Here is a 24,479-nt window from a genome sequence, read left to right on the forward strand (position 1 = left end):
AATAAATACTCAACCAGTAAAGATTCTGCTGTGTAGAGTTCAGGGTTTATTAACTTTATCTGTACTTTACAGCATGTTCTGTTTGGGCAGAGCCTTTATAGCAGTTGAGCATATTCAGTAGCCTAGTCAGAGACAATGAGATGAAAACTTGGCCTCTCATGGATACAAAATTATGTGATTTTTTCCCCCCCCAGACCTCATAGTTATTCCTAGGAGTCAAGAAGATGATGCACACAATGTACAAGCAGTAATTGATTCACTGGCCTTGGACTACTTGCAGGTCAGCTTGTCTCACATAACAGGTTGGTATATGTATAACTATCACATAATTATGCATTTTAGTAAAAATAATTGTTAGAACTGTAGACATTGTTTACTTAACCAAATGAGTGAGCTTATGGAGTAGACCAAATTGTAAGATTGAGCTAAGACAATCAACTGATAGAGGTCAGGTCCATACATGAGAACTTTTCCAGGAGAGCTGAACATTGATTTTGCAATTGATCTGGGTCTGAAACGTAAATATCCTAGCTGGTAATTTGAGGTGTGTTTTTTGTTTTTATGTTATGTTGTTTTATTTATTTTTATTTTTTGATTCAGAGTCTCTGTTGCCCAGGCTGGAGTGCAGTGGTGCAATCACAGCTCACTGCAGCCTCAACCTCCCAAGCTCAGGTGATCCTCTCACCTCAGCCTCCCGGGTAGCCGGGGCTACAGGTGTGCACCACCATGCCTGGCTAATTTTTTCTATTTTTTGTAAAGACAAGAGTTTCGCCATTTGCCCAGGCTGGTCTGGAACTCCTGGGCTCAGCTGATCCACCTGGCTCCACTCGTGAAATTGCTGGGATTACAGGCCTGGACCACTGTGCCTGGCCTTCGGGGAACCTGCCCCGATAGTCACGTAGGTTCTTTTCTATTTTATCTAAGCATCGGCAGGTTTGAGAAATAAAGGGACAGAGTACAAAAGAGAGAAATTTTAAAGCTGGGCGTCTGGGGGAGACATCACATGTCTGTAGGTTCCGTGATGCCCCACAAGCTGCAAAAACCAGCAAGTTTTTATTAGGGATTTTCAAAAGGGGAGGGAGTATACGAATAGGTTGTGGGTCACAGACATCAAGTACTTCACAAGGTAATAGAATATCACAAGGCAAATGGAGGCAGGGCGAGATCACAGGACCACCTGACTGGGGTGAAATTAAAATTGCTAATGAAGTTTTGGGCACCATTGTCATTGATAACATCTTATCAGGAGACAGGGTTTTGAGAGCAACCTGTCTGACCAAAATTTATTAGGCGGGAATTTCTTCTTCCTAATAAGCCTGGGAGCGATATGGGAGACTGAGGTCTATTTCAGCCCTACAGTCTACAGACCATAAAAGATGGCCACGCCCGGGGGACCGTCTGTAGACCTGCCCCCAGGCGTGTATTCTCTTTCCCAGGGATGTTCCTTGCTGAGAAAAAGAATTCAGCGATATTTCTCCCATTTGCTTTTGAAAGAAAAGAAATATGGCTCTGTTCCGCCCGGCTCACCAACGGACAGAGTTTAAGGTTATCTGTCTTATTCCCTGAACAATTGCTGTTATCCTGTTCTTTTTTTCAAGGTGCCCAGATTTCATATTGTTCAAACACACATGCTCTACAATTTTGTGCAGTTAACGCAATTATCACGTGGTCCTGAGGCTACATACATCCTCCTCGGTTTACAAGATGACAGGATTAAGAGATTAAAGTGAAGACAGGCCTAGGAAATCACAAGGGTATTGATTGGGGAAGTGATAAGTGTCCATGAAATCTTTACAATTCATGTTCAGAGATTGCAGTAAAGACAGGCATAAGAAGTTATAAAAGTATTAATTTGGGGAACTAATAAATGTCCATGAAATCTTCACAATCCACGTTCTTCTGCCATGGCTTCAGCCGGTCCCTCTGTTTGGGGTCCCTGACTTCTCGCAACACCTGGCCGTATTGTTTTATTTTAAAGCATACTAATGCTACTTGTTTGTGATAGCTAAAAATTAGAAACACCTAAATGTCCATTAGTAGGGATTGGTTAGATAAATCATGATAGCTGCATACAGTGGACTGCTCTGTGGCTGTAAAAGATGACTGAATATGCTCTTTGTGCACAATGTTCCGTGTTGGGAACAATCTCTAGCATATGTGATGCGAGAAAAATGTAGTACAATTATAATGGTAATGTGCAGAGTAGTATGCTAGTGTTTGTAAAAACAAAGGTGTGCAGAAGTATTTGCAGTTGTTTGCAATCGGAAGAACTCTCTAGAAGCATATACAAGAAACTCGTAATACTGATTGCTTCCAACAAAGGGAACCTCAGGGTTGCAGGACAAAGGGACAAGAACTTTCAGTGTATACTTTTTGCACTTGCTGAATTTTGAACCATGTTATCTATTCAGAAGTTTTTTTCTGTAATTAAATCTCCAAAATAAAGTATACTATACTGTATTCTAAAACTAAGCATACCAAATATATTTATAAATCACTGTATTATGTGTATTTCATTTATGTTTAGAAATGAATGATTATTCCAGTAAGTTATTTCAAGCTTATGAATAGAGGGAATATTGACAATGTGAAACTATAATCACAAAAAGAGGATTTATACTGTTGATTTATTCTTTGATAGTTGTAAAAGGAGATAAATGTTAATCAGGATAAGTCCTGATTTACATCTCTTAATTTGATACTGACAAGAACAAATTTTTGCGAAGAGAATAAAATACTCTTCTGTCTTAAGTTTTTTAATGCAGTTCTAGGTGAGTGAATGGGTAAATCAGTTCGGAGATAATTTGAGGGCTACTCCCATAGTTTCCCTCTTTTTTTTGCAATTTGTAATTGCTTTATCACCCAAGTAGGACAAGTTCTGGTATTTGTGCTTGTTAAACATACTATAGCAGGGTTATAAACATACATGTTTGTAAAACTCTTTAATGCAGAGCTGTCTTTGACAGATTACACCCACCCTATGAAAAATTGTAAAACAGTTTCTCCTGCAGCATGAAGCACTGCATTCTGGCTGGCAGTCTTAGTTGCTAGGTTGTCAGTATACTCCCCATCCTAGAAACTGAAAAGTTTTGAGGATGCTCTTGGGATATACTTAGGTATTTTTAAGCCGGAAAAACACGTCCAAAACCAAGATTTCTGGTTCATTGTTTTAAACGAAAAAACTCAAACGTTGTCGTTACTAGTAGTAGTATAAAACGTCAAATTTCTGGTTTAGGTTTGTTTTGCATCATGGCTGAGGTTACGAATGGCTAGATTCTCCCAAATGTCAAATTTCTACACTGCTTTTCCCATATTGGTGTGAACTCATGAGAATGCCAGGCATGATCTCCCAAAGGACAATCAGAGTGTCACAAGGGTTAAGTACTATCTATACCTGAGGTTGATTTGGAGTCCATTTCAGGTGACATTAAATATGTCAAGTTTCCATGCTTTTTGCCAACCCATTTCTATTCAACATTTCAACCTAATCATTTATATTAAAAATCTGTTACGGAGTAGGTACTGTGCTAGGGACTGTGCTATGATCTATGAGTGTAAGTTATGAATATGAAGTGGATATGGTAAGAGATGTAGCTGGAGACGCTGAAGATGGAGTGAGATTTAAAAAGGTTTTATATGCAGGGCTTATATTTCAGAAAGGGAGCCAGGGAAAGGATTTTAATCAGAAAAATGGTATGATCTATACAAAATGAGGAGTTAACAAATATGGGGGGTTATGGTGGAGAATTCAGGAATTTCTGATGAAAGTATCCCAACAAGTTTATTGTTTTTTTTTGTTGTTTTGATGTTACTCTGCTGCTATAATCTTCTGAACAAACCACCATTTAGAATAGGATACCACAATCTGAAAGTGTTCTCTCCTGCCACTTTTTCCCACCAATCTGGTAAAGTTCTGTTTAGCTGCAATATATTTTGGTATAAATCTTACTAGACATGTTTTCTTAAGTCCAATTATTTTGCTTCTCCAAAAAAGGAAGGAATATGCCAGTGAATTATTAGACGCCATATTTAAAGCTTCCCCCTTTTTTTCTTCAAATATAATCAGGCAGCAGGAAATTGTTGTTCTTAATATTTATAATTGTTTCACCTGTATTCTTTTTTTTATTTAATCTCCAAGGAGCTGTAAGTTGGTATGTATCGCCTGTATTCTTAAATAGCATTTTCACAATGTTATATCCAAGTTTCAAGATTATGAAGCTTTCAGATTTCATGGTTAAATTTTTTAATAGCTCTATATTCTGTCTCCAGGAGAAAATATAGTGAAAGGAGATAAAGAATCTATTAAGAATCTCCTGGAAATATTTGATGGTTTGTTGGAGTATCTTACAGAACGCATCAGTGAAACATCTCATGAGAAAAGTAAGTTTAAGAATGGAAATTTGGTTTGGTTTACCTTTTATGATGTGTCCCTTTTGCCTTTTATCTTTTTGTGTATTTTTCTTCATAGGAAGCAGATTCACTAATACAGTATACCTGATAACCGTAGTTGTAAATTTCAAATTCTTATTGTTCCAGCTGGTTGGAAACTGTCTTAGACTGTCATCATGTTCTTTATCAACTTGGATGTTGCTCATAAATTACTTCAAAACTAATTTATACTAGAAAGATAAATTTCTGGCTAAATTATTTATTGTCCTATGATTGCATAAAATTTCTTTCTCCAAAATTTCGTGTGTCAGAACTGCTATTTATGGTAAATATTTGGATGTTACTGAGGCATCAACAGGAAGAATTGGTGCATTTGTGTCTTTAGCCTGCACTTACATTTGTGACAGCCTAAATATTTCAGATATTTGTCATTGCAAAAAGTGAAAGAACTTAACTGTCTTAATAATTTGAGATTAAGTAAATAATGCTGTTGGTCACGAATGGAATAATATATTACCTGTTCTTATGTTGAAAAGTTATCAAAAATAAACTTTCAGCAGCAACCACAATTTACATAAATTCGAATACAAATTAAGACAAAAAATTGGGGTAGGCTCATCCTCCATTCTCACTTTGTTTATAGTGAGACCTGTGATAGTCACATTTGAAATTAATCTTAAAGTCTTTAGTTAGAGATAGTTTCCTACCTTTAATCATTGTTACTAAACTGTTTAAAAACTGGGAGGGAAAATTGAAAAGTCTGCCACACTGGACATTTCTTTGTTTCAAAAATTGAGTGTTTTATAGGCGTCTGGGTACTCTGGGAGGATTCCAAGCTGCTTGTCATGTTGATACTCTCAAACCTGTACTTGAGTCAGGGAGACAGCCATAACTACATACAATAAAAGCATAAAGGGGGAATTAGAACTAGGGGAGAGTATTGACAGGTGGGACTCACCTAATTCAAGGCTACCAGTAGGTATTTGTATGCTGTGTACCTTTCTAGTCTTTTTAGTAACAGGGTTAAGAGGTAGAAAACAACCTCTAAGTAAAGAGATTGAGATTAATTTGAAATGTAAAGAGAGCAGCAGTTTTTTACAGTTTAGTGCTTGCTCGCAGGAAGGGGAGGGATGGTAGTGCCTGGCTAATGATATGGCAGTGGGGATGAAGAGAGGAGGAGGCAACTGAGAGATACTTTTATGTGAGTCTGGTGGTGGTGAAAGACTGAAGGATATTCCCAGGGGAGATCGGCAGTATGTGGTGAGCTACTGGGGAAGTTGCTCAGATAGGCTTCCCTATATGACAGTACCTTAGCTGGACAGCATTTTCTTACAGTCTGCTTCTCATCTTTGCAGGTCTAATATATACTTACCTGGCAATATTTCCTAGAGCTGATCAGGTTCTTCAAAATGCCAGTTAACAGTAATGGGAAACAAATCTTTATTATCACTAATCATATCAGCTGTGCAGGGCAGCTTCAACCTGGGACCTGAGCTAGCATTATCATTTACCACTGAAGAAGGAGGGGTTCGAAGGAAGACCATGGGTTCAGTGCTGGGTTCTTCCTCTCACTATATGATGGCAGCTCTCTAAGCCTGTTTTCTCATCTGAAATTCTTTCATGGTTGTTGTGAAAGTTAAGTAAGTAGATGTGTGTAAACAGTTGGGCACACAGCCTAGCTCAGAGTAAATGCATAATAAATGTTAATTGATGTTATTGAAATGTTGCTTGGTGAATATGGAAGTAGAAAAAAATGAAGGTGGGTGTTTGAATGGTGAATCTCTAGACATGGGCATGAGAATATCCAAAGGGGTAAATCTGAATCATGGGAGGTTTCACCTACATGTATTTTGAAATTATTTCCCTAGTGAGTTATAGCTACTGGTGAAAGTATGTATTCTTCAAGTATGGTGGGGTGGAAAAAGACTGATGGTCTTAAGAAAAATTTCATCCAAGCCCTGATACAGCCTGACTCAGCCTAAGGCATGATTATCTTGGAGCTTGCATTATGTTGACACAATCACGTTTTCTGTCACCTTGATATACCTCAGACATCCTTTACAGATGGAGAGGTATAAAAATATTGAATGGACCTGCCACTGACTTAAAAAATAAAACATTGCTCATACAACTGTAGACCCTGTTTTTAAAGCAATATTCTTGTTTCTTTGTTACTCGAATAATACATGCTCATTACAGGTGATTTGGTTCTTTCTGATTGCACTTTCACTAGAACCCTGTTTACCATGGCAAGTTAGGGGTGCCTCACTGTCCTTACCTTTCCCTGCCTCTTACATAGAAAAAGTAGTATTCACTTAGGGGTTTTTTGGTATTGTTTTTATCTGTTCTGAACAGGTGAAACTGAACAGTATTTTAAAGAATCTGATCGAGGAGAACGTTTGGAAGAGCCAGAAAGTACTAAAGAATCTAAATCATCATGGAAAAGAGTTTCTTTTGGGAGGTAGCACTTAGTGTCTCTGAATTTGATGAAAACAAGTTACGCTTTTTGGACTAAGAATTAAAATCACACGTAATATACCAAGATGGCACCAAAAAAAGCTAATGTGAAACTTCTACTAACTTCTCATATTTTAAACTTTCCTGAGGGAGTTTTAAGAACCTTGAGTTACATATAATACCTAAATCTCAGTATCAACTATCTACTCATTTTTATATTTTTCTTTTTTTTTCTTTTTTGAGACGGAGTCTCATTCTGTTGCCCAGGCTGGAGTGTGGTGGCATGATCTCGACTCACTGCAAACTCTGCTTCCCAGGTTCAAGGGATTCTCCTGCCTCAGCCTCCTGAGTAGCTGGGATTACAGGCACGCGCCACCATGCCCGGCTAATTTTTATATTTTTAGTAGAGATGGGGTTTCACCATGTTGGTCAGGCTGGCCTCGAACTCCTGATCTCAGGTGATCCACCTGCCTTGTCCTCCCAAAGTGCTGGGATTACAGGCATGAGCCACCGCGCCTGGTCCCTGTTTTTCTCTTAATCATCAAAGTACGTCATCATCTTTGCAAAAAACTTGCAAAATAGAAAAAGCAGGAAAAAAAATCTATTCCGAACTAAATAACTGCTGTTAACATTTTGTTAAATTTTTTAGTCCTTTTTACTATTTTTTTCTTTTTTGGATTTAGTCATATGTCTATATAATTTCGTTGCCTGCCCCTCACCCCTGCTTTTTTAATAAAGAGACAGGGTCTTGCTCTGACACTCATGGTGGAGTACAGTGGCGTGATCAGAGTTCACTGTAGCCTTGAACTCCTGAGCTTAAGCCCAAGTAGCTGGGACCACAGGTGTGCGCCACCACACCTGGCTAATTTTTTTTTTTTTTTTTTTTTTTAACAGAGATGGCATCTTGCTATATTGACCAGGCTGGTCTTGAATTCCTGGCCTCAAGCGATCCTCCTGCTGCAGCCTCCCAGAGTGCTGGGATTATAGGCATGACCCACCTCACCAGGCTCGTTTCCTGCATTTTTAAACTTAACATTAAGTGTTCTCAAGTTGTTTAATTTTTTTTTTGAGACACAGTCTTGCTGTGTCACACAGGCTGGAGTGTGCAGTGGCACAATCTCAGCTTACTGCAACCTCTGCCTCCCGGTTTCGAGTGATTCTTGTGCCTCAGCCTCCTGAGTAGCTGGGACTACAGGTGCACGCCGCCACGGCTGGCTAATTTTTGTATCTTTAGTAAAGGTGAGTTTTCACCGTGTTGGCAAGGCTGGTCTTGAACTCCTGACCTCAAGTGATCCGCCTGCCTCAGCCTCCCAAAGTGGTGGGATTACAGGCGTGAGCCCCTGCGCCCAGCCTCAAGTTGTTAAATTCTTTATAATAATTTGTAATCACTGTATAACATCATTCATGTGGATGCTTCATAAATTACTAAGCCATTCCTCTAAAGTAGAGAGTTTTTTTAAATATTATCAAAAACGTGATACTTAATGTTTATTCTTTTTTTCCTCATATCTTGAGGCTAGATTCAGAGTAAGACAGTGTAAATGTTTTAAGGCTAATAATAAAAGTTGCCAGACTGTTTTCCAAAAAGGCCATGACTGTACATTTACCAACAGTATAGCAATGCTGGGTTACAGGACCTTCATGAGCCAGTATCATTGATCATTTTCACAGTTTTTAAACTTGTGCTTCTTTCATAGACAAAAATGTATTGTCATGACAGGTTTGATTGCACTTCTTGCTAACTAGAGGTTGAGCATAATGCTATGTCTTCATGGTTCGAAGAGCACAGGCAATGCCTTCTTTTTTAGGTATAGTACATTGTAAAAAATGTGTCTCAGAGGAGACCATCATAAGATGAAATTTTTTTTTTTTTGAGACAGAGTTTTGCTCTTGTTGCCCAGGCTGGAGTGCAGTGGTGCAATCTCGGCTCACTGCAACCTCTGCCTCCCAGGTTCAAGCAGTTCTCCCGCCTCAGCCTCCAAAGTAGCTGGGATTACAGGCGCCTGCCACCACGTCCAGCTAATTTTTTGTATTTTTAGTAGAGATGGGGTTTCACTATGTTGGCCAGGCTGGTCGCAAACCCTGACCTCAGGCAATCCACCTATGTCTGCCTCCCAAAGTGCTAGGATTACAGGTGTGAGCTACCATGCCCGGCCTGATGAACTTCTTTCCATAAGAATTTTAAAGTAACAAAATAAGCGCAAAAGTGAAACAATTGAAGGATATTTAATGCAAAGTTAGCATCCCACCCCCTTCACTCCCACACCCTAGAGTCACCAGTATTTGCTGTTCTCCTATACATTTAATCGTTGACACTTTATATACAGCTATTTCTACCATTCATATATCAGTGAAAACAAAACATAAGCAGCAAGACATGCTAAGCAGCAAAAGGGAGAGTCTTTTCCTTTTTCTGCACCCAGCAGCTCTCCAGGTCCTCAGGGGAAGGGCCCTCTGGTCAGGCTGGGCCCTGAGTGAAGGAGGGAACTTTTCCAGGTGCTCCTTGTCTTCTGAGATGTTGGGCCCCTCTTGGGATGGAGATGAAGCAGAATCCACTGGTGAAATCATTAGACTTGGAGACACAGCACACACCTTTTCTCTAAGAAGTAATGGTGAGTAGTTAAACCTGAAGTATCAGTTATTATTCAACATACAACTATAAAAATGTAAATGGTATGTAGGAGTGTTTAAAATTGAGAAGAATAGAGTGCTAACTGGACATGGGATTTGAAATTCCAGAATATCCCACTACCCATTAAATATGAACACTTATCTGAAGTCGCAGGCATATGGGCAGATAAGTCCAAGGCAAATAAGTGTATGCAAGGTTATTAGGTAATTTGCGGTTCCTTATAACCTGGGAAGAGAATTATGGATGCAGCTTATAGTCTGGTCACGCTTTCAGGGTATTCTTTAATTGTAGTTTCCTGAACTGGTGGTTGACTCACTTTTTTCATTGTTTGAACCAATAAGTTCGTATATGCAGTAGCAATTTTTCTTCTAGGCTTCAGGCCAGATTTCCAACAGCCTATTGCTTGCACATAGTAGACCCGGATATCTTTCAAGCCCCAATTTTGAGCCTCCAACCTTGCCCTCCTCCAATCATCCTACTCCATCCTGTCCACCGTGGCTTCATAAATTACTAAACCAGTATATGGACCACAAGTCTTGGAATGTTCTCCCTTACTTTTGGTTCCTGGCAAACTCACCCTCCAGTAGACCAAAAAGCTATGCTTGCCATTGGGATAGGCACAGAAACGGAAGGACCAGAGTCAAGTGTGGATACTACAAAAATGTTTCTTGAAGTAGGAGAATCAGATGGATTGATTGGGAATGGAAGGGATGGTGATTGCAGAAACGGGTTCTGTGATGTCAAGTGCTATGTAAAAAAGATGTTACTGTAAAATGAATTACTTATTTTAACATTATAAGTAGAGAGGGGAATTGTGTTTAAGAGTAATGCAATTAAGGCAAAGGAAAAAAGATTCAGAGAGATGCCTGGCCAAGGTGTTTGGGTTTGATGTGATAAAAGGGCTTATGGCAGCTTCCTTTCATATTGAGATTTAAAGTGTCAGATAACTGTCATATACATTCACAGGCATCTAATTTAAGCTTCAATATATGGACCATAGTCTTTTTTTTTTTTTTTTTTTGACACTAGGTCTTGCTCTGTCACCCAGGGTGGAGTGCGGTGGCGCAATCTCGGCTCACTGCAACCTCTGCCTCAGCCTCTCAAGCGGCTGGGATTACAAGTATGTGCCACATGCCCAGCTGATTTTTGTATTTTTAGTAGAGATGGGGTTTCGCCATATTGGCTAAGCTGGTCTTGAACTAATAACCTCAAGTGATCTGCCTGCCTTGGCCTCCCAAAGTACTGAGATTACAGGTATGAGCCACTGCGCTTGGCCTGGACCATGAGTCCATGTTTCTGGTACTAGCTAAGACCCTAACTCTGGTGTCTATTCATACCAAGACATGTCCATAAAACAGCCAGCATTTCCGTAACTCTGGCATCTATTTTTCTAAAGCTAAATAATGAAACATTGTATGAAACTTTGCTTTTAAATTGTATAAATGATTCTGGATTACAAAATGGCATCTTACTTTCTGATAGCAATTAAAAATAATTGATATTATGGCCCGTCACAGTGGCTCACGCCTGTAATCCCAGTACTTTGGGAGGCTGAGGTGGGCGGATCACCTGAGGTAGGAGTTCGAGACCAGCCTGGCCAACATAGTGAAACCCTGTCACAATACAAAAAATTAGCCAGGCATGGTGGCGGGTGCCTGTAGTCCCAGCTACTCTGGAGGCTGAGGCAGGAGAATTGCTTGAACCTGGAAGGTGGAGGTTGCAGTGCAGCGAGATCACGCCATTGCACTGCAGCCTGGCGACAAGAGGGAAATGCTGTCTGAAAAAGAAAAATAATAATTGGTATTTTGAGCAGTTGGACCAACATTATTTCGTTCAACATTATTTAATATTTGTTTCCTGAGTACAAAACTCTTGGCTTTTAGTATAATGTTCAGCAAACTATTTTGATAGTTAAAAATTTTACCTTTAATATTTTCTTTCCTAGGTGCTCAATGTCCTAATGAAATGCTGTCTAAAAAAGCCTTAGCCTCACCAAGTTCTAAATCACATGAAGATATGTTGTACCCTCCTAGTGTTTTGTCCAAGAGTAGGACATCCTTTGTTGAAGACAGTGAGTTGTAATGGATGTTAGTTCTTTACTGCTGATGATCATTCTTGGGGCAATTGTTGTTGCCATTAGCCTTTTTACTTTTATTGCTGTATATGAGATCCTTTTTGGTCTTACATGATCTTACTTGTAAATGTTTGCTATTAATTATGGTATCTGAATTCTGCTTAACATGGTCTTTGGTTGCATATTTTTGCATCCACTATTTTATTATCTAAATTCTCACCACTTACCTTTTTTTTTTAATGGGACAGAGTCTCTGACACATTAGTACATCTATTGGTGGTCTTCATATTATTGGTAAATAACAAAGTATAGTAACTGGAAAAACATTCTTTTTTTATTGTTTCGAGACAGAGTCTAGCTCTGTTGCCCAGGCTGGAGTGCAGTGGCATGATCTCGGCTCACTGCAACCTCCGCCTCCTGGGTTCAAGCGATTCTCCTGCCTCAGCCTCCCAAGTAGCTGGGATTATAGGCGCTTGCTACCACGCCCAGCTAACTTATTTTTAGTAGAGATGGGGTTTCACCATGTTGGCCAGGCTGGTCTCGAACTCATGACCTCGTGATCCGCCTGCCTCAGCCTCCCAAATTGCTGAGATTACAAGCGTGAGCTCCCGCACCCGGCCTGGAAAAATCATTCTTGTTTCTTATTATCATCTCTGGAATTTTCATATGGTAGTAATACATAAAAATATTACTGCCTAACTGGTTTTGTAACGTGGACGAACCATAATTCACATAACATAACATTCTTCAAGCCATTTAAGTTGCTTCCAGTTTTTAAAGTAACTTTCAGGGAACAGTTTTATGATAATAACATTAAAATTACATCCGGGGCCAGTCATGGTAGTTCACACTTGTAATCCCAGCACTTTGGGAGGCCGAGGCAGGAGGATCACTTGAGCCCAGGAGTTGGAGACCAGCCTGGGCAACATAGCGAGACCTCATCTCTACTTTTTTTAAAAATTAAAAAAAAAAAATTACATCCTAATTTAATTAGATCCCTGTGTGCTGAGGCTATATCCCTGGTTTAATTATTTTTTTATGTGCTTTGTCTTAAGTTTAAAAAATATTTCTAATGTATGTGAACATGTTTATATAGGTATGTATGTATGTATATAAAATGGTTTATTTCTTAGAATTGCATCGTAATATCCACTTTAATTTGTCTTACTAGCGGAAACCCTTTCTGTGAGTGGGATTCCAAATGCTAGGAAGCTAGGGGAGCCTATCCGAGCAGCTATTCCTTTACATCCACCCTACCACCCTTCAGAGCCTCGAGCACCCTGCCCCATAGGAAAAGAATACTTGCATTCAAGTCACTGCTCCCCAGCCGTAAATTCTACTGGAGAGCATACGGAATTTTCTGGGGTAAGTGGAAAAGCTTACTTTCAGTTGGCTAGAAGTACACTTGTATGTATGTCTGTGTGTGTGTTGGTAATTGATTAGAAGGCCGTGTGTGTGTATGTGTATTGGTGAAGTCTTTATTCTTTGTCAAGGAAGCCCCTATATTTAAAGAAGTCTGCTAGAATTGTCAAGCATATTGCACTAGTCAAAGCATCGTACTCCTTAAAATTTGCCTCTGTATACACCTGCACATTCTTGTTCTAGGAAGATAGGAGAAAAACGAATGCATATAAAGGGAAATAATAAGAGCCAACACATAGTGAATGTTTATGTTGTGCCAGGCGCAGTTCTGGATACTTTAGGGGTATTGAATAATTTACTGCCCATAACAACTCTGGAGTAGCTACTATATTTATTTATTGTTGGGAAGCTGATGTAGAGAGGGCAAGGTTACACAGCAATTACAGAGTCAGGATTTGAACTTGGACATTCTGGCTTCAGAGTCCATATTGTGTCCGTAATTTAATAATTTCAAATTTAGAAAACACAGAGTGGAAAAGAAAATAACCATCCATGCATATTCCCATTATCCACCATGAACCACTGTTAACATATTGATCTATTTGGTTCAATTGCAGTGAGCCAAGATCACGCCACTGCGCTCCAGCCTGGGTGACAGAGTAAGACTTCATCTCAAAAAAAAAAAAGAAAAAACCTTTTTTATATAGTCATCCTGTCCTTATCTTTCTAAAAAGAACAGGACTGGGTTCGGTGGCTCACACCCATAATCCCAGCACTTTGGGAGGCTCATGTGAGTGCCAGAGTTTGAGACCACCCTGGGAAACATAGTGAGACCTTGTCTCTGCTAAAAATAGAAAATTAGCCTGGAGTGGTGGTGCATGCCTGTGATCTTAGCTACTTAGTAGGCTGAGGCAGGAGGATCACTTGAGCCCAGGAGCTTCAGTGAGCTGTGACCACACCACTGCATTCCAGCCTGGGCAGCAGAGCAAGACCCTGTCTCAAAAAGAAAAAAATAAAATAAGAAAAACAACAGGCAGGTATGTACACAGGGTAGATATATAAACAGTGATACATTTTCATTATTTAAACATTCAAGCAATGCATTAAAAGTACAGAGATGAAATAAGCATTATTAACAATAGGTGACCACATTCTCAACATTCTGTGCATCTAAACAGGAGAGGGATTAGATAAAAAGAGGTGTTAAAATGGAGTCATAAGATAATGTTTACTTTTGGGGGAATCATAGTGGGGGTTTTAGAGATATTTCTGAGTTGGTAATACTCTGTTTCTTGACCTGGGTGGCAGTTAAAGGGGAGTGTTTATTTTCAAATAATTCATTGAGCTAGAAATACTTTATTTTAAAAGTTTTATTAAAATATGATTATATTTTAGTTGCTATTTAGTAAAAGGTTGTTTGTTTTATTTTTTTTTGAGACAGAGTGTCGCTGTGTCGCCCAGGCTGGAGTGTAGTGGTGCAGTCTGCACCCACTGCAACCTCCACCTCCCAGGCAAGTGATTCTCCTGCCTCAGCCTCCCAAGTAGCTGGGACTACAGGCACACGTGCCACCACACCTGGCTGATTTTTTTTAAAAATATTTTTAGTAGAGACGGGGTTTTGCCATGTTGGCCAGGCTGGTCTCAAACTCCTGGCCTCACCTGCCTGCCTCTGCTTCCCAGATTGCTGAGATTATAGGCATGAATCACCATACCCAGCCTACTAAAGGGTATTTAATTTTACTTTAATAGAAAAAGATAATGAAGTGAAATTAAAGATATCATTAAACATTAAATAAATGGCCGGGTGCGGTGGCTCACACCTGTAATCCCAGCACTTTGAGAGGCTGAGGTGGGTGGATCACGAGGTCAGGAGTTCAAGACCAGCCTGGCCAAGATGGTGAAACCCTGTCTCTACTGAAAATACAAAAATTAGCCAGGCGCGGTGGCAGGTGCCTGTAATCCCAGCTACTCTGGAGGCTGAGTCAGGAGAATTGCTTGAACCCAGGAGGTGGAGGTTGCAGTGACCCAAGACTGCACCACTGCACTCCAGCCTGGGTGACAGTAAGACCCCATCTCAAAAAACAAAAAAACAAACAAACATTAAATGTTTCTTCATCACAAGAAGTATTTTCTAAAAGATTATCTCTAAGACCAAGAAATAAATTTAGCCGGACACGGTAGCTCATGCCTGTAATCCCAGCACTTTGAGAGGCTGAGGCGGGTGGATCACTCGAGGTCAGGAGTTCGAGACCAGCCTGGCCAACATGCGAAACACCGTCTTTACTAAAAATACACAAAAAAATTAGCCAGGTGTTGTGGCATATACCTGTAATCCCAGCTACTAGGGAGGCTGAGGCAGGAGAATCGCTTGAACCTGGGAGGCGGATCAAGCCATTGCACTCCAGCCTAGGCAACAGAGGAAAACTGTCTCAAAAAAAAAAGGAAATTTAAAATGTTAAGGGTTTATATTCATATTTTGAGAGGTGTTGTCTTTGTTTTAACTGTTTCAATTTTGGACAGCCTTTATTGACATTGATACAAAAGATAGCCACTTGAATACTTTGTACTAGTGATAATTTTTTTGTTGCTCAGGTATAGTGGTAATCCCTGAAATTTCATATTTAGAGAACACCTGGCCTGTGTTTTTATTTGAATGGCATCCTGAGCCACATTTGTTCTCTGAGCACAAGTTTCTAGACATTGCTCCAGTCCTTTGGTGCACTGGGTGTCAATAGGGTCTTTTGACAAATGCACTTCAAAACACGGAGATTGAAGGCACGTAGCTTTGTGCCACAGTTCCTCCCTTCCTCACTCCCAGAAAGTTCATGTTTCTTATTTGTAGCTTTTTCAAATCAACTTTTTTTCTGTTTTTAATAGGATCTAGATGATGGACTTTTCTTAATTTCCAAGTTGCCTAAAGGCAGCAAATGGGAAGTATATCCAGCTCAGGTCCAAGGGCCTAGGACAAGGAAGCCTCCCAAAGGAAAAAGGTAACATTACTGCAGACTTCAGTGTTTACAGTCTGTTTACAAAGGAATTTGAAAATGCAGGGGCATGATCTCCAAATTTAGCTGTGAAGACCAGAATGAAGTATTTGTTAAAGTACGTATTACAGTTATTTTAAACTAAATAATAGACACCTAGCTATTTTACTGTCAAATGGTCACTTTTATTACAGAAATGAAAACAGAGCTACAGCCTCATCCTGCAATTCACCTTTCCCCCAGAGGCCAAGAAAGAGATTAACAGAACAAGAATTACATGATGTATCAGAAAAACTCTCTCAGCGGCTTTCTGAACTAGATTGGGCAAGTCTTGTTTTTTCATCTATATTGAGATTCCCATGGGTTAAGTGAGCATTTAAGTAATCTCTCAATTGAAAGTGAGGTATTAGAAAATTAGTTGTGTCTTATTAATAGTTACTGTGAAAATGTTCCGTAAGTCAAGCAGGTAGAACAGGAAGTGATCTCTCAGCGTTTCATGATCTAACTAAATTTGGTGCAGATTTATCCAAATTTTATTGAATTCTGATGAAAACTAAATCATTTAACATAAACGATTATGTTAAGCCATTTTTCTTTAGATATGTCTTTATAGTTCCCCTTTGCCGCTAAAGACAGATCTGGTATAAAATTGGATGGATCACTGATTCTCACAAAATACAATATTACAGTTTTAAGGTATCATTGAATGAATGTTTTAAATCCCTACGTGACTTTTTCTAAAGTTTATTGAAACTTAGTGATCCATAGCACTGATATACACCTTTTTAAAACTAAACATGTATGCCAGGTGTGGTGGCTCACAACTGTAATTCCAACACTTTGAGAGGCTGAGGCAGGTGGATCACTTAAGCCCAGGAGTTTGAGACCAGCCTGGGCAACATGGCAAAACCCCATCTCTACAAAAAATAAAAGATTAGCCAGGCTTGGTGGCATATGCCTGTAATCCCAGCTACTCAAGTGGTTGAGATGGGAGGATCACTGGAACCCAGTAGGCAGAGGTTACAGTGAGCCCAGCTAGCACCACTGCACTCCAGCCTGGGTGACAGAGTGAGATCCTGTCTCAAAATAAAAGTAAATAATTAAACATGCATAAGCGTCTGAAAACTTGTTATTAGTGACTGTCAAAGGAAGCTTTTTTAAAGGTCTGCCTACTCCTACGAATTTACATTCTGCTGAAATCAGTGAAAGATGTTGAAAAGAATTTTCTCAATAGATGTTAAAAAGTGCTCTGGGTGATCGGATTAAAGAAAAGACTGACCATAAAGAAGAAAATACTGGAAATGAGGAGGTAGAGGATGGAACTGAGGAGACACTGTCTCAGCACAGTGATGGCATCGTGGAGTATGGGCCAAAGAAGTCAAGGCCAGGTACTTACCCCAGAGAGACTGAGAAGGGGGACATCCATGTGAACTACTTAGGCAGTTCCATCTGTTCTTAATAACTTATATTCTAATTTTAAATAGTTGAGAAATATATAAAAGGATCAAAAGTAATATCAAACACCTGGATCTTCCCCATCTAGAAGTAGCAAGTGTTAACAATTATATTTGCTTTAGCCCCTTTGTGTTTAAGAAATAAAACAGTAGAAACCCCCTCTGCTCTCCCCACAGATCTCTTTTCCCCACCCTCAGTGCAACCACTGTCTTAAAGTTGGCATCTTTTCTTCTGATCCTTGTTTTTATACTTTAAGAGCTCATGCATTACTTGTCTAAACATAGTATTGTTTTATGTTGTTTAAAAATTTACATACTGTATATATTATTCTGCAACTTGCGTTTTTTTCTGACATTGTCTTAGAAATCTATTTATGTTGATCCTTACAGATCCAGCTCATTCATTTTAACTGCAGTGTAACTGAGTTCTTACAGTGTGTCACTTTTGTGTGGGTATATGTATAGCAGTATCCATTTCCCCTACTGCTGGACATGACTGAGTTCTTGCAGTGTGCCACTTAATGTGTGTGTGTGTGTGTGTATATATATATATATATATATACACACACACACACACGCGTGTAGCACTATCTATTTCCCCTATTGCTGGACATGTTGTTTCCAGTTTTCATTACTATAAAAATTCTGCAATGAACAGCCTAGAATATGTGTAAGAGTTTCTGTGATATCTCCATCTAGTAGGATTGCTGGATCATAAGGCCTACATTTCTTCACCACTGCCAACTTGCCCACCAAAGTGATTGCACTGCTTTATACTCGTATCAGCAGTTTCTGGTTTGCCGTGTCTTTGCAGATACTTCTACTGTTTGATATGCCATTGTTCAAATCCAATTATCCTGTCTTCCACCAACTAAAATCCTGCATATTTTACATTTAGTTTTATCTACTTTGGTCATCCATTGTTTCTTCAGAAATAGTCTTTTTCTGATCCAACTTCCTTAACTTTTTCAGTTGTTTTTTACTCCTTCAAGAATGCTCTTTCCTTCTCTTGATTATTTCCTCTCTCTTCCCTTTAAAAGGACTCAGCTAATTTCTAGGCACCCTCATCCAGGAACCTCTTCCTTTCCCTTTTTATGTACATACACATGGTATCCTATTGTGAAAACAGGTTATAAATTAAAATATTATTTCAAGTGCGTCTTCAGTTTCTAGAGAAAAATACATCATGAGCAGCTATCATTTAAAATAGATTATGCAAGTCAGTTTTTAAAAATACATCTTAGAATTTGAAATGTGAAAGACTTGAATTAAAAGCATGTGAAAAAAATAATAAGCTCGGAAAATTTATTTATAAAGGTACCAAACTAGCTTCCTTGGTCTTAAGGCTATGTTGAAGTGCTTTTCCCACTGGAGTCACCCTCTTCACAACTAGCAGATCCCCAGACACACCTATAGACAATGGGATAAAAAGGTTTGTAGAAGGAAATGGTTTATTAGATCTCTTTGGCAGTGTGCAATTAGGAGGGCTAGATTGCTAAGTAGGGAAAAATTGAGACCACTTAGACAATGCTTAACACATTAACTTTGCCTATAAGCATATATAATAAGATAGATATGTATGCTTACATCCCACCTTCTCAGGACCCAGATAGGTAAAAGGATAGCAGATGCGTGGCTCAGATAATTTACCTTTTCTCTCTTTGCATCTCCCCCTATCACCAAGAGCACTCTCCATAGTCCTTTGTGCATAGGAGGCATTCCACATGTTGAATATCCAAAGTTGAATGTAGAAGCTAAGTATTTGAGACAGTACACATTTGTATGCATTTGTCTGTTTACTTGGTGTTACCATACCAATTCAAGTTAGTTACAGGAGAGAGTCCCTTTAGCACATTCACTCATCAGTCTCTTTGGATTTAGTGAAAACCAACTTTGGTTTCCAGCATAACATTCTGGCTATCAGGAACTAATGTTATATGTCTTTTCTCTGTTGCAGGACTTTCCATGCGTAGAAAGCCACCCTACAGATCCCATTCGCTCTCTCCATCTCCAGTTAACAAACACAAACAGTTCCACTTGGAGAGAAAAAGGCAGCGCAAGCCAAGAGAAACAGATGTCCGCCAATTCCAAGCACAGGTTCTTCCCCATCTCTTGACTACCATTAAGCAGCAGCCAGTACCATTTCCCCTCAGCCAGATGCTACCATGAACATGCTGTTGATTTAGGCTTAAAATACATTTAATATTCTTGAGCGGAGTGGATGATAGAGAGCTATGTGACATAGCTTATGTCTTTGTTAGCATAAAATTATACTCATGAAACTCTTAAAAAAAATAACCTGGCTGGACATAGCTTGGTGTTCCAGTAGATTAAGAAAGAGGAGATCAGTGTGAGTTGTTATTTTCAGAGTGAGCTTCAGAGATGAAGGGAATTTGAGGTGGATTAAACGTGAAAGGCCACTTGAGTTACAGAGAAGATGAGATCAAGTACCCAAGACAGGAATGAGAGGAGGTGGTTGGGATTCAACAACAGGGAGATTGGTATGATTACCTAGGAAGACTTTCCACTGTGGAATGTGGATTTTGAAATGTAGCATGGATTTAGAACACTTATTTGCAGTAGTAGGTTTTATAATGCGGTAGGATTTATAATGGTGAAAAACTAAAACCAATTCAGACATCTTACACTCATTTGTAACTCAGCATGTAACTTCCACTCAGGAGAGTATCAAAATGATTGCAAAAACTTGAGAACAGAAAAAACGCATGATGTAAAATTTCATTTTATGTCCCAATTATATATGTTAAAGTAATGTAGAGATTTGTGAGGCAGGTGCAGTGGCCCTGCACTTTGGGAGGGTGAGACAGGTGGATCACCTGAGGTCGGGAGTTCGAGACCAGCCTGGCCAACATGTTGAAACCCCATCTCTACTAAAAATACAAAAATTAGCCAGGCATGGCAGTGCACACCTGTAGTCCCAGCTACTCAGGAGGCTGAGGCAGGAGAATCACTTGAACTCGGGAAGTGGAGGTTGCAGTGAGCTGAGTTTGTGCCACTGCCTCCAGCCTGGGCGAGAGTGCGACTGTCTCAAAAAACAAAACAAGAAAACCATACATTTGTGATATAGAGTCTGAAAGGAATTTTTTTAAAAAGTGAATGAGCTTGATATTTTAGGGGTGGCAGGTATCCTAGGTGAATTTTTTTCCTCTTTTGTATTTTTTTTTTTTTTTTCTCAAGGTGGAGATTCACTCTTGCCGCCCAGGCTGGAGTGCAATGGCATAATCTTGGCTTACCTCAACCTCCGTTTCCCGGGTTCAAGCGATTCTCCTGCCTCAGCCTCCCGAATAGCTGGGATTACAGGCATGTGCCACCACGCCCAGCTAATTTTGTATTTTTAGTAGAGATGGGGTTTCTCCATGTTGGTCAGGCTGGTCTTGAACTCCTGACCTCAGGTGATCCACCTGTCTCATCCTCACCGCACGCGGCTAAGAGCTTGGATGCTCGGTTGAGGCACCATTGGAATTGAAACTCAGGATCTCCTGTTTACTAGACAGGTGCTTTAACCAGCTAAGCCATGGTGCTGCCCGTTGTGTATGTTTTTAATAACTGTAATATATGACCTTTTCCCCTTTAGGCGTTTACTGAAGCATTTGAAAGGGAACTAAGAAGACATAAAGTTCAAGAGAATATTGGACCTCTAAGAATACATGAGAAGGAGGAGGAAACAGTGGGTAAAAGTCTCCACTGTAATAAATGCCATTTGATCAGATGAGTGGGAAGTACAAAGATGATCTTTTTAAAAGAAGAAGGGGCCAACAGGGCCTTAATCATGAGCTCTTTAGGAAAAGGCAGGATTTCATGTCATGATACAGGACTTGCTTATTAATAAGGCATTCAGGTTGCTAAAATATGACGAGACATGGTTCCAAAGAAAAGTAGTGTTTTTCCGCTACTTAAAACTTCCCATCAGTTTTTAAGGGTTTATTTGACTTAGCAGTTCACCAGGGGCTTAAAAACTACTCTAGGCTGACAAAATTAAAGAAGAGTAAGAGAAGACAGAACATCCTAGTTGGCTATAGACCTGGTTGTAAGAAACCCAAAACAGAAGTTTTCATTGCCTTTCAAAAGAATGGTTACAGAAACTAAGTGAAATCATGGGGAAAATGCTTATGCTAAAATATTCATGAACAAAACAGGATATAAAGTACAGTATGGTTACAACTAAGCATACTGCATAGTTGCCTGAGAATTTTTTAAATCTACATGGAAAAAGAGAAGTACATTGAAACATTAATGGTTAAAAAAAAGATTAATAGTGGTTGTATTTAGGGTGTGGGACTATGGTGACTGAAACTTGAAAAAGATTCAGTGCTTTTTCAAATTCCAAGGGATGCCAGAGGCCAAAAGGTGCATTTAACTTAGAGTAAATGAATATTAACCAGATTTTACAAATTTGAAGTAAGGTGGTTTGGCTTACTGTTAGCTAAAAAACTAAAAAACTACCGTTAGCTGTTTTTGTCAGTATGTAATATTTAAGATGATGTATGAAAGAACTGTTAGACCTTTTATTTTTATTCTGTTTTATATCTGCTTCTAAGGAAAAAATATACAGAGGAGAAGCTGTTCGTAAAGGAACTCCAGAATGTAGTCAGCCCTGGAAGATTTACTCTAGAAAAACCACAACGCAGAGTCTAAGAGGTGGCCTCCCAAAGCCAAATAAAGCAGTTCCAAGTAAGAACCACAGAATTGTACTTTATGGAAAACTGGCAACCTTTGAAAGCATGTGCAACATTCCAAGGACACAGCACTGAAAGCTAACATCCACCAGTTAGCCGAAGAAAGTTTTTTTTTTTTCCCAATCACTGCCATGTGGCTGGTTTTCCGTAGAGGGCTAAAACTCTTCAATAAGGAAGTACTTCAGGGAGGCCTATATATTGGCACCCAAGGAATGCCAGGACTGCCACCTGCTGCTCCAGCGTTAGCCTCACTCGTGTGCTTACTCACTTTGACTGCCTTTTTGTCTATTTCTGGGAGGTTGGTAGAATGAAAGGGATGCTCCAAGGCAAGCAGATGGCCTGTCCACCTCCTATATATTGACAGTGCCAATGAGTGTAGAGTCTTGTTACAAGAAACAAAGTCATGAGAAATGCCAGGCTTCCTGTTACACCCAAAGACTGCTGGCCCTCCTACTCTATCCTTTAGACCAGAAACTTTTTCTTCTAAGCACTTGCCTACCGGGAAGGTTGAGGAGTCTTGTTTTACCGTACGTAGAGAATCTACCCACAGGCACTGAAGCGGCTGAGCAATTAGGATGGACTTCCCAGGACCAGCATGGCATCAATCCAGAACTATTGAGCTTATTTTTATCCTTACCAGTAGTTGGCTTACTCCAATCAGAGGAGTAATGCAAATTATTATAAGTACATTTAGAATTGTTCTTTTCAGGATCAAAACCACATCACTTACATAAGCTTTGATCTACCAGGGATGTTGGATGACAGTTCTTGTCCACGTCTCAGATTAAGAACATCTTATTTTACCTTGCAGTGAAAGTAAGTGAACACAGTCTCCTGCCCCTTATGCTGGAGCAGTTTCCGTTTCTTTATGTTTCTGGCCCAACACTAAGCAAAATGTGGAAACAGCAAATTGCACAGGTTGAACAGCTTAAGAAAGAAGCATGTAGAGAAAATCGATCAAAGAAGAAACTCCAAGATGAAGTAAGTTACTGTCAGTCTTAAGCATAGGAATTTAAATGAGAAGAGCTTATCCTTAAGAATTTAGTGAACAGCATTATTAACCTACTTAACTTCATGTCCCCCTTCAAGATAGAAGAAGCCCTAAGAAGGCATGACCTCCTTACTACCCTTGTCAAGAAAGAATATGAACATAACAAGAGACTGGTATGTCAAGAGCAAGTTGGGTATTATAATTCTGAATTTGTTATATTCATTCCCTTTATCTGTGCTAGCTGGGCAACAGTTGCACAGACCCTTAACCTCTTAACACCTGCATGTGGAAGTGTTGCCTAGGTCTTTAACCAAAATTGATAGCCCATGCCTGTAATCCCAGCACTTTGGGAGGCTGAGGTGAGAGGATCACTTGAGACCAGCCTCAGCAACATAGTGGGACCCTGTCATTAAAAATATATATATGGGTGTGGAAAAAATGAGCCTGGCATGGTGGCATTTGCCTGTGGTCCCAGCTACTTGGGAGGCTGAAGTGGGAGGATCACTTGAACGTGGGAGGGCGAGGCTGCAGTGAGCTATGATCTTGCCACTGCACTCCAGCCTGGGTGCCAGAGTGAGACCCTGTCTCAACAACAACAAAACACACAAACCCAAAATGGGCAGGAGGAAGAGCTAGGTACTTTATATACACAGTTTCAGTTAGTCTTCATAGTAATGTATTAGAGATGTTTTCTATGAAATGAAAACCCTGAAGCTTTGAGATACTAAGTAACTTGCCCTGGGTCTCACTGATAAGCAAGGGACACAGCTGAGATTTTAATCCAGTTCTGTCTGTGGACTCCATGGACCCATCTAGGTGCCAAGCAGCTGAACTTAGTGCTGTTTGCCCTCTCCCATCCTTCTCAGGTCCCAAGTAGAGAGCTCCAGGATTTATCAGCCTCCGTTATAATTTTGACTAGGAATTGTGCTTAGAGAATTACGAAGGGAGAGGATGGAGGTCAGAAACAATCTGCCAAAGGGAGAGATTTAAAAATCTTTGCCTGAGTGTGGAGTAGAGATAAGCCATGAGAACTGTAATACTGAACAGTTCCAGGAAGACATCTCAGGAACTGCAGATGGTACTTTCCTGTGGAGGGAAAAAACACTAGTATCTGAAACACCTACATAAGAGGCTTTATGTACATGACCCCATTTTATTTTCACTCCTTTGTCAGATACTGTCTAATTTCCTTAGTTTTTGCCTAAATGCTCCTGGCAGCTCAGGCTCTGCTTGAAAGTCTGGGTGTGCCATTTTCCTACTCCTTGTGAGGTGGCATCTGGGCCAGCCTTGTTAGCAGCTTCCTGGTGGCATGGGGAGTGAGCCCTCAGTTCCACAGGAGTGCCCAGGATCACTGCTGCCCTCTGCTGCAGTGGGGTGTTATTGGAGCTGCTCTTCAGATTGAGGTGATAAAGCTGCCAAAGGCTGAAGGGCTTCTGGGG

The 24,479-nt window shown here is 39.9% G+C and overlaps 1 protein-coding gene across 12 annotated transcripts in view; it reads left to right on the forward strand.

The window, feature by feature from the left end:
* The window catches only part of CEP95 (centrosomal protein 95), a 31,185-nt gene that overhangs the window by 3,217 nt on the left and 3,489 nt on the right, over positions 1-24,479 (forward strand). For 4 of the 12 annotated variants that reach the window (XM_047437012.1, XM_047437013.1, XM_005257779.4 and 1 more), the window contains 14 exons: positions 195-302; positions 4,270-4,380; positions 6,745-6,850; positions 9,343-9,458; positions 11,424-11,549; positions 12,724-12,917; positions 15,792-15,904; positions 16,093-16,222; positions 17,133-17,286; positions 19,310-19,449; positions 20,948-21,040; positions 21,912-22,044; positions 22,861-23,030; positions 23,139-23,213. In XM_047437012.1, coding sequence (XP_047292968.1) covers positions 195-302; positions 4,270-4,380; positions 6,745-6,850; positions 9,343-9,458; positions 11,424-11,549; positions 12,724-12,917; positions 15,792-15,904; positions 16,093-16,222; positions 17,133-17,286; positions 19,310-19,449; positions 20,948-21,040; positions 21,912-22,044; positions 22,861-23,030; positions 23,139-23,213 — 1,769 coding nt within the window. Of the gene's footprint in view, positions 1-194; positions 303-4,250; positions 4,381-6,744; positions 6,851-9,342; positions 9,459-11,423; positions 11,566-12,723; positions 12,918-15,791; positions 15,905-16,092; positions 16,223-17,132; positions 17,287-19,309; positions 19,450-20,947; positions 23,031-23,138; positions 23,214-24,479 lie in introns of those variants that run through there. The other 8 variants (XM_047437015.1, XM_047437016.1, NR_133644.2 and 5 more) reach the window with 7 other exon arrangements.

The sequence above is a fragment of the Homo sapiens genome, chromosome 17 (assembly GCF_000001405.40).
Source record: "Homo sapiens chromosome 17, GRCh38.p14 Primary Assembly".
Lineage (NCBI taxonomy): Eukaryota > Metazoa > Chordata > Mammalia > Primates > Hominidae > Homo > Homo sapiens.